The sequence below is a fragment of the Homo sapiens genome, chromosome 21, assembly GCF_000001405.40.
Source record: "Homo sapiens chromosome 21, GRCh38.p14 Primary Assembly".
NCBI classification, from domain to species: Eukaryota; Metazoa; Chordata; class Mammalia; order Primates; family Hominidae; genus Homo; species Homo sapiens.
The window spans coordinates 10,611,333-10,622,448 of record NC_000021.9 but is presented as its reverse complement, the minus strand read 5'-3'; the positions used below and the strand labels follow the sequence as shown (position 1 = coordinate 10,622,448).

Below are 11,116 nucleotides of genomic sequence, written 5' to 3'. Positions count from 1 at the left end.
TAAGATCTTCTCTTGTTCCTTTGGACCATGGACTAGGGTTCCTCACTGGGAACGTGGGCTTCTGATACTTCAAAACTGCCAATTTGCTGCTGCAAAGGCAAGTTAAAAATGTCATAAAGTTTTCCAGTTGTCTTTCTCTTGAGTCTGCTTTCACTTGGTTGTTGTAATCTTTTGACCATTTTCCAGAGTTTTGGCAAAGTTTATTCGGACAGTTTCTCTTAGTTGTGTGATGTTTCTGTGGGGAAATGACAGATTGCAGCTGTCTCCACTACCATTTTGCTGATGCTCCTCTTTTGTCAATTTTTGCTTCATGTTATTGTGCTTTGTTATTAGTTCATGTATTAGTTTCCTAGGGCTGCCATAACCAACTAACACAAACTGGGTGCCTTGAACAACATACATTTATAGTCTTATAGTCCTGGAAGCTAAAAGTCTGAGATTGAGGTGTCAGCAGGGATGGTCCCTTCAAGGGCTATGAGAGAAAGTCTCTTCTGTGCCTTGTTTCTCGCTTCTGGTGGTTTAGTGGCAGTCTTTGGCCTTCCTTGGCTATTCTCTGTCCTCATAATCACATGGTACTCTCCCTATGTGTATGTCTCCCTCTACTCAAATTTTTTCTTTTTATAAGGACATCAGTCATATTGAATTCAGGCTCATCTGATTTTATCTTAACTTAATCACCTGCAAAGAACCTATTTTCTAATGAGGTCATATTCAGTGGTTAAGATTTCAGCATCTATATAGAGGAAACAATTTAGCTCATATCTGTGCATACATGACTGTAATAGCTATGACCAAAAAGCGGGAAAAGCTATGACCAAAAGCGTTGACCTCCTTATTACTACAATATAAATGTTTAAAATCCTATTCACATTTTTAATAGTGTATATCGTGTGTTATGAGTATAATGAGTTCAGTGTTCTTATGATTGCTCTTTGCATGATATTTTTTGTCATCTTTGTACTTTCATTCCATTGGTATCCTTGCATCTCCGGGTATATTGGGATCACTTGTTTTAATCCAGTCTGACAATCTCTGCCTCTTGAAGGGATTTTAATCTGCTCACATTTAATATTATAATTGGTATAATTCTATTTATGTCTGCCATTTTACCGTTTGTTTTGTATATTTCTCAAATATTTTTCTTTATTCCTTTATTTTGCAATGAATGAATATTTTCTAAAATAGGGAACTCTAGATTACTAATGAATTATTTTACTATATATTTTTGAGAATTTTTGTTGTTGTAAGTTTACCATATAGGTATATGGAAAATTATTTATTCAAATCATCTTCCAATTTATACTAGTAAACTTTTAGTAATACATAGAAACATCATTCTTATACAAATCTCTTTTATTTCCTCCATTTTAAAGTATTATCACTTTACACGTTACATCTATTAAAGTTACAAAGCCAACAATATATTTTAGTAATTATTGCTTTACCATCTAGAGTGATTACCTTATCACAATACATTTTTCTTCCAACTACCTCCTTGTTGATGTTACTGGAAAATATGTTATAGACGTATTACATTTCTACATGTCAAATACTCAGCAATACATTATGCATATATTATTATTATCATTGAGACGGAGTCTCCCTCTGTCACCCAGGCTGGAGTGCAGTGGCACAATCTCCGCTCACTGCAAGCTCCATCTCCCGGCTTCATGCCATTCTTCAGCTTCAGCCTCCCGAGTAGCTGGGACTACAGGCGCCTGCCATCACGCCTGGCTAATTTTTTGTATTTTTAGTAGAGACGGGGTTTCACTGTGTTAGCCAGGATGGGCTCTATCTCCTGGCCTCATAATACGCCCGCCTCGGCCTCCCGAAATGTTGAGATTACAGGCGTGAGCCATAGTGCCCGGCCGTTATATGCATATTATTTTATAAACAATTTATGATAAAGAGAAAATATGCATTTCTACTGTTTTTATAATGTTAATATTACCTATACCAGTGCTTTTTTAAAAATGTGGATTCAAATGACTGGCTTGTGTAACTTGCTTTTAGCCTTAGGAATTTATTTTAGTGTTTTTTTTTTTTTGTATGGTAGGTCTGCCAGCAACAACTTCGGTTAATATTTTGGTTTATCTGTGTAAGTCTTTCTGTTATCTTCATTTTTGAAAAATAATTGCTCGATAAGGAATTGGTGGCTGACAGTTTTTTTCTTTGCATCTTTTGAATATATTATTCTACTGCCTCTTGCCTTCCATTGTTTCTGTTAAGTCAGCTGTTAATCTTAGAAAACCTAGGTGCTCAAAAAATAAACATATGCATGAATATTTATAGCAGTAATATTCTTACAGTCAAAAAGTGGAAACAATCCATATGCTTGTTGACTCATAAATGGACACCCAATTTCCAGCTATAACAAAGAATGAAGTACTTATACATGGTATAATATGGGTGAAATTTGAAAGCATTACGTTAAGTGCACAAAAGGATAAATATTACTTGATTTTATTCACATGAAACATCAGGAATTGGCAAATCAACTGGGATATAAATCAGATTAGTGGTCATTAGGGCTCAGGGAAGCAGAACAGGGTGTAACAACTTCATGCATAATTGGGTTTTTAGAAGGGACATGATGAAATTGTCCTGGAACATTGTGAATATACTAAAAGCAACTGCGTTGTATGCTTTAAAATTCTTAAGTTATTAATTTTATATTATGTGATTTTTACCTTAAAAAAATAGAAAATAGCCTTACTCTATATACAATAAACTCAAGATGTGTTACAAATTTATATGTGAAATCCAAAATACTATAATAGTTAAGGAATAGCTGAGTAGAATAACACTAAAATTTAACATAATGAAATATTTCCTTAAAGAAGAAAAAAGCACAGTAATTAAAAAGGGAAATATAGTTAATATTTTTTCTCTCTATTAAGCATGCCATTACCTGAGTAAAAAATCAAGCTGCAATTATGTAAACTACATTTTCTAAAACCATAAAGAAAATAAGGAATGAAAAGGGATTTGGGAAAAAAATCCAAAGGTACAGTCAACTACACAAAAAAAGCTTAGTCTCATTAATCATTATGAAAACGCAAATTGTAACTGAAAGAAGATAAAACTACAATTCAAAGAGAAAGCCTAAAATTTCAACCCCCCAAAAAGTCTGGGTTTTGGAGATCTGGGATGGAATAGGTTTCCTAACCTGACAACAATGAAAGAACCAAACTAACTTCAAAGTCATGACTTTATTTTTATAGCAACCAGGTTGCCAAGAACTGAGTCAAAATGTGAGGGAAAACAAGCACCTGCAAGGAGAAAGAGGACAGATGCACTTACATAGGACAGATGCAAATAGACACCATTATGACAAGTAAAGCTGGAATAATCAATAAATTCCTAAAGACAAAGTGGGGCTGGTGAAATTCGGAGACCGCTGACAGCTGCAGAAGTTGGGAAAGATCCATCATCTTGAAAACTTTTTCCCCACAAACCCACTGCGATCTCTCAAGCAATTGGTGAGAAATCCAAGAGAGTCTGTATATGACACAGATCAGGGAGAGCAGAACACTTGGGAGGTGACCAGGTCTTGGGGGCCGAGCCCTTATGAATGGGATTAGTGCCTTTATAAAAGAAGCTCAATGGAGTTCTTGTGTGCCTTCCACTGTGTGAGGACATAGAAAGAAGGCACCATCTATGAACCATGAAATGGGCTCTCATCAACACTGAATTTGTGAGCATCTTGACCTGAGATCTTACAGCCTCAAGAAGTGTGAAAAGAGAAATATCTGTTGTTTTTTAGTCACCCAGTATATGTTATTTTGTTATAAGAGTCCAAATAGACCAAGATATTCCACTTAATATGCAGGGGAAGGCAACAAAAACTGCCACACTTAGAATACTCCTGATGCTGGGAGTATGAAAACAGGAAAAACAAAACAAAACTGCTCTTGAAGGTGAAGGAGGAATATCACTGAGCTCACTAACACAGCCAGGAAAAGAACAGAAGTGTGAGAAGGCTACATTCCTGAGACCCTGAGAAAAAGTACCTGCATGAGACTGAGATGAAATTACCTACTCTAGTTATGACTGAAATCCCAAAAAGAAAAGAGGGAAAAATAATGGAGCAAAAGAAATATTTTTCAAAATAACTGCCAAAAATATTCTAAAAGAAGTGACAGAAAATGGAACTTCAGATATAGGAGACTCAGAGAATGTCAAATAGAACAAAAATAAATAAGAATTAAATCTTGAAAAATCTTTTAAAAATCAACTCTAAATTTTATATCTTGCTCCAAATATATAGAGATATAAATAGGTTATCATCAAGATATGGAGAAAGCCATATCATGGAAACAATAAAATAAAGCTGTTGAAGGACTACATAGATATTAGATACAACAGAGTTCAGAACAAGAAATAGTATCAGAGATGAGAGGTAATAGATAATATAATAATCAATTCTCAAGAAGATGTAAGCATCCTCCTAATTAGGTTATGCAGCTAACAACAGAACCTCCAAATACATGAGGTAAAACATGAAAGAAATCAAAGGTGAACTAGAAAAATCCAAAATTATATTTGCAGACTTCAACACTTTTGTCTTAGTAATGGATAGACTAGGCACAAACTCAGTAGTCATATGGAAGATAAGAACAACAATATCACCAACAAGACATCCAATCTGCAATGGCAGATACTCTTTCTTTTCAAGTGAAAAAAAAAAACACTATGGCATATTCTCTAACAAACCCAGAATTTCTAATATTTGCGATCTTCCTCCCTTCTTTCTATCTTTCCATCTTCCTTTCTCTTCTCTTCCGTTCCCTTGCCTTCTTCCTTCCTTTCTTCTTTTCCTCTTTCTTTTTTTTCTTTTCCTTTCTTTTCTTTCTTTTCTCCTTCCTTCCTTCTTTCCTTCTTTCTTTCCCCTTATTCTTCCTTCCCTCCCCCCACCCTTTCTCCCTTTTCTTCCTTCTTTTCTCTTATTCTTTCTCACTTTGTTGCTTTCTTTCCTTTTTTCTCCCTTCCTCCCTCCTTTTCTTCCTTCCTCCCTCCCTTCCTTTCCTCCTTTTTCCTTCCTTCTCCTCTTTATTTTCTTCGTGTCTTTGCCTTCCTCCCTTTTACCATTCTCTCTTCCTCCTTTCCTTCTTCTTTCTCACTTTCTTTCTCTCTTTCTTGAGTTCTTGCTTTTTTCTCCCTTCCTGCCTTTCTCCCTTCCTCCCTCCCTCCCTTCTCTCATTTCCTCCTTCTTTTCTTTCTTCTTTCTTTCCTTCCTTCCTTCTTTCCTTCCTTCTTTTTTCTTTCTTTTCTCTTTCCTACAATTCATATTATTTTAAAACAATTAAGAGAGGGAGGCAGAAAAATAAAGAGCACTTTAATCTGCAGGTAAATAGATTATGTCTGCTGTAGACAACATAATAGCCTCCCAAAAATGTTCATGTCCTAATTCCCAGAGTTACAATTCCCTAACATACAAATATGTTAGGTTGCATGGCAGTGGGAAATTAGATTTCAAGTGAAATTAAGGTTGTTAAGGCGGCGGGGGCAAAAAGGCGCAGCAGCAAAAATCCGCGGCGGCGGGGGCAAATAGCCACGGCGGCAAAAAGCCGCGGCGGCGGGGGGCAAAAAGCCGTGGCGGGCATAAACCCGCGGAGGCGGGGAGACAAAAAGCTGCGGCTGCAGGGGGGCAAATATCCGCGGGGGGCAAAAAGCCACGGCGCCGGGGTGGGGCAAAAAGCCGGGGCGGGGAACAACCCATGGTGGCGAGGGGAGGGGGACAAAAACCCGGGGTGGGCAAAAAGCGGCGGCGGCAAAAAGCTGCAGTCCAGGAAACATCACTTACTGTCCCTGCTAGTGTTGGGAAAGAAAGGAGGACACTCTTTAGAAACGTCTTTTACAATGAGACTGATAGTGGACTGTGTCTTAGAGCCATGAAAGGAAAGGAGAAGTTGTAGGATTTCCTGGGAATGTCAGCTAACCTGAGCCTAGGGGCCTGAGCCCAAGGGCAGACTGAGGCTCCCCCAGCACAGGGAGGTGCTGCCTGTGACAAGGGGTAGTGCTGGCACAGTGCAGGCTACTCCCTAGAAAGATCAGCTTGAATATGCAGGAAGAGCAGGACCCTCGGGCTGAGGCAGAGGTGGAATGGGAAGTGCATGGTGGTAATTTAGTTCTCCAGAGGCCAGAAGTAGGAGGAGCGGTTGGAATGCTGATGGCCCAAAGGGAAACCCTGGACTACCCTGGCCTCCCACAGGACTCTCATAGTAATTGCGGCTCCCTGCAGTGGTGAGGCCAGAAGGAGTGTTGCCCAATGCTGTCATCATCCAGTCCACCCCCCACCCACCATCAACAGATGAGTATGGTCATGAGTGTGGTCACCTCATCAGTCATTTGCTCAGTTGTGAAAAAGAAATTGTTCAGAGAAGAGCAAAGTGTTTTTCCATGAGCCAAAGGTCAGCCAAGTTATGCTAATGAGGAGGACTGGAGACAGCGTGTCACAGACACCGAGAAGGAGCACTGGGCAAGGGCACTTCTCCCAGGGCAGAGCCCACAAGAAGCGTCCTGGCACCAGACACTCAGGGAACTGAAGGCTGGCAGGGGCCCGCCCAGTAGTCTCTTGCCCACTGCGTGCCTTTAGGCTACAGCCTCCCAGGCCCCGTGCCCCCTCCCCTCCTCGCCATGCCACACTGGGGAGAATGCTGACCCTGAGGGTGGTGCAACCATCTGCCTGCCCCTGGCCACCACTTCTCACCAGCATGTGAATGCTCTTGGGCTCAGTTCTGTATCTGCAGTAGGAGGGTGTTTAGCCACATGAGAGAGTCTCACCTTTTGACATTCTATGTCTTTCAGTCTGTCAAAGATCTAGAACATATTGTGATGGAATTAAAAAGTTTACTTTTGGCTGGGCAAGGTTGCTCAAGCCTGTAATCTCAGCACTTTGGGAGGCTGAGGCGGGTGGTTCACTTGAGGTCAGGAGTTCAAGACCAGCCTGGCCAATATGGTAAAACCCCGTCCCTACTAAAAATACAAAAATTAGCCAGACGTGGTGGTACACGCCTGTAATCCCAGTTACTCGGGAGTCTGAGGCAGGAGAATTGCTCGAACCCAGAAGGCAGAGGTTGAAGTGAGCGAAGATTGTGCTATTACGCTCCAGCCTGGGTGACAGAGCGAAAATCCACCTAAAAAAAAAAAAAAAGTTTACCTTTTCCTATTTATGTGCATACAGGTATTTGGGTACCACATTTGTAATTTACAGTGAGTTTGAAAGATAGAAATTGTAACAGTATGGTTGGGAGCCAGGTATGTAAGGCAGTTGCCGGTGGGCATGTTTTGAACCTGTATTGGGCCCTTATATGTATGATCTCTGTGATCCCATCATTACTGTTCATTTCTTCCAGGAGAGGAATGACACACTTCTCACTTTAATTGCCAGATTATCTCCAATTCTGAATCAGTGGAATATAATTTAATATGATTTTACTATGATTGAGTCATTCTCTCCCAGGTGCTGCTGGGCTAGGATAAAATGAGATCTGAATTACATTAAAATAATTAATTATTCCAAGAGAAGAGGTGACAGAATGTTTTAAGTGGGTGTGTAATTTAGATAACCTAGATGCAGATAAGCTGAATAAAGCATTTAATCCAGCACATTCATATTTTAACTTGATCATCAGCAATGGGAGTTTGAAACCCAATTGCAGCTGCAGGTCCCACACAACTGAATTTGGTTCCGTGTGCATAGCAGTGTTCGCTGGACATGCCTGGAGGTCTGAAGGTGTGCCCTTTTATAGGCAGGAATTCCACCAGGATGGGTATAGCTTGTTTTTTTAAAAGGCTTGGGACTGGATACGATTGCCCAAGAAGACAGTGTAGACAGCGAGGAGGGCTGAGCATGAATGGGATGACCTACCAGCACAAAAACAGCAGGCAGGAAGGCAGTAAAGAAATCAGCAGGGCCCAAACCAGGAGAGTGTGGCATGCCACGGTGGAGACTGAACAGAAACAAAGCCACGGGAGACTGTAGTGTTGTTCCCTGTTGAAGGAGAGACTCTCTATTATAGAAGACCTGGACTTCAGTTCAGTTCAGTTTCCTTAGTAAAGGACAAAATGGGGAGAGAAGACAGGGAATCAGGGAAGAAAAACTCATTCACTTATGTGAGGCAAACATCGCATGCAGTCGTACCAACCAACAAAACATGATAAGCTACAAAGAACTACGGTTTTCGCTACTCTCAAAAAGCTACTGAGATTACCAGGTTTTAAGCTTATTTCAAGATTATTTATAGGTGATTCCCCAACTGGGAAGGTCATTTCTGAATTTCTTCTCTTCTAAAATAGATCTAGAAAAATTAACAAACCTTATTCCAGTAAGAAAGTTTGGGATGTACTGCTTCAGCCCCTGTCCTAAGGAAATTATCAAGCCTGGAGGGTGGGGTGCTATCAACTGCCTGCCAACATGTTACCTTCTGGCATCCAGAAGCTTCCCTGTGCCAGATGGAGCCACCAATGTGGGGAGGAGAGCACAAAGAGCAGAGAATCCACAGAAACCATACCTGCAGGGAGCAAACACCATCACACCCCACTGCTGTGAATGCAAATGCATTTACCTGTTCTTACCATCTCCCTCAGCATTTTGAATCTATTCTGGGATTAGACAAGCTCCCAGACTTAACTGCTATGTTTAATAAAAACATGGTAAAGGAAGAATCGGGGCTATTAAAATGCTTAAGAATGAGAAAGTTGAAAAAAGAAAAAAAGAGGTAGATTGTGTTTGGCCTGTCTTCTCCCCACCGTGAGGGGTTGCCACTCAGCTGGAGGCCTGCTGGTTCGTGTGGGCCAGCCCTCGACACCTCAGTGACCAAACGAAATACAACCCTCACTAGAGCTTCTTGTACTTGGCAAGACCCAGGCGTAGACCTGGGCTACCAAACAAAACCTTGTGTTCTTAGAGCCTGGGAACAAGAGCTTTGACAGTTTCCACAAAGAACTCTTCCATAGCACTAGCATTTCTATTTGCACCTGCCTGCAGCCATTACTACGCTGACCTCTGGAAATGTCACATCAGCTGTTCTTGAGATAAAATACCATTTGCTATTTTTTTTTTATCTAGGCCCTGTCCCTTTGATGTTAAGTGGTGGAGGGAGTTGGCGGGATTTGCCTCTGGCTTGCGGTATATCTAGTGGATTGTATCAAATCCAGAATTCAAGTTCTTTCCATGTCTTGAAAACAGGCAGGATTTATCAGAACTTTTATAAATGTTGTGAAAAATGAAGGTGAATAAACACCTGTTTTTACAGCATCTAGTATACATCTTAAAATCTGAGAAGTGAACTTCTCTGTTTTGATTGTAAAAGGAAAGAGAACGGTAACACAGAAACTTTGTGTCCCAAATAGAGCACAGATAACTTGTCTATTACTCATAGTAATCCTCCCTTAAATTTGTATAACATGCGAAGTTTTACACAGTACTTATACCTCCCTTATCTAATTCAATCTTCATAACCACCCTGGGCAGTACTAATATTATAAACCAGTCTCCAACCTCAAGGTTGGTGCTCTTGCCACTGCCCAGGTGAAGCTGCAAAGCTGTGGCCACCTCTGTCTCCATGGTTGCATCTGTCTGGCCGTCTCAGGCCTCAACACTGCCCCATCCATGTACTAAGAGTTAACCAAGCATGGAATTGGGGTATGTTACCTGAGCATCAGTCAGTTTTGCCAGGAGACCTGATACTTGTCCTTGTTTCTGTTGGTCTATTTAGGGAAAGCTGGGAATGCGTCCTTCCATGACTTGTTGGTTTTTAGCACTCTTGTCTGGATTTGCATGTGTAAATATACCTGTGCAATGCAGCTGCGTGGGTGTCCCCAAAGGAGGGATTGTTGCAGTCTTTGCTTGCCCTTTTGTCTTCTAGGAATAATGGCCTTACATTCTGGACTGAAACCTACTATGATTCGAGCATTACCTGACGATTTAGCACTCTTTTTGGCCGACGAATATACCAGGAAGTTGATGATGAGCCAGTTGGAAGCATACTGAAGTGTCTTGGACGGCCTGAGCCAAGCACAGGTGTTTGAGGACTACAGTTCATCTCAGGGTTTCTTGTAGTACAAGACCAGTGTGAAGTTATTCTGATTTCTTGGGAATTTTGCTTTTTCGTCTTCCCTTATACCCTACATCTTAAATTGTATGGAAGAACCTCTATTTTGCATCATGTCATTTCTGCCCATAATTGTACTGAAATAGAGAAGTCACTGCTCTTTCCCTTGGTAAAATAGAGAGTGGTCAGTAGCCTTATGCACCTAATTCAAAAGACTGAGTACAGTTCTGTCAGGGCTTTTACATAAACCTCTACTTGCACATGTAATTTGGACAGTTATGTGCTGAGGGAAATACAGTTTGGTTCCATGTTTATTTCAAATGTTACCAGAAAAACCCAGAAGTGATCATTTCTCATGAAGATGCTTACAAATGGTTGCTTAACCCATTCTAGGTGCAGGATCTGCTTAACGTGTGTTACTATTCTAAGTGGTTGATTTTTTTTTTTCTTAATATGGAGTCTCAGTCTCTTGCCAGTCTGAAGTGCAGTGGTGCAGTCTCGGCTCACTGCAACCTCTGCTTCCTGGGTTCAAGCAATTCTCCTGCCTCAGCCTCCCGAGTAAGTGGGATTACAGGGGTGCTCTACCACACCTGGCTAATTTTTGTATTTTTAGTACAGATAGGGTTTCACCATGTTGGTCAGGCTGGCCTCGAACTCCTGACCTCGTGATCTACCCGCCTCAGCCTCCCAAAGTGCTGGGATTACAGGCATGAGCCACTGCACCTGGCCAAATAAAACATATTTTTAATGAATAAAAATTAAGGACAAAGAAGAGCATTCCTTATAGAATGATAAAGGACACAATTCAACCAGAAGACCTAGCCTAAATATGTACACACCCAACATTGGAGCACCCAAATTCATAAAACAAGTTTTTCTTGGCCTACAAAAAGATTTAGACACACAATAACAGCAGGAGACTTCAACAACCCACTGACAGCAATAGACAGATCATTGAGGCAGAAAACTAACAAACTCTGTACTCGCACTTGACAGTTGACCAATTGGACCTGATAGACATCTACAGAACACTTTGCCCAACAAACACAGAAGATACA

General features: G+C 40.8%; 1 pseudogene; it reads left to right on the top strand.

The window, feature by feature from the left end:
• SLC25A15P4 (solute carrier family 25 member 15 pseudogene 4) lies at positions 9,071-10,194 on the top strand (annotated as a pseudogene).
• The last annotated feature ends 922 nt before the right edge of the window (positions 10,195-11,116 follow it).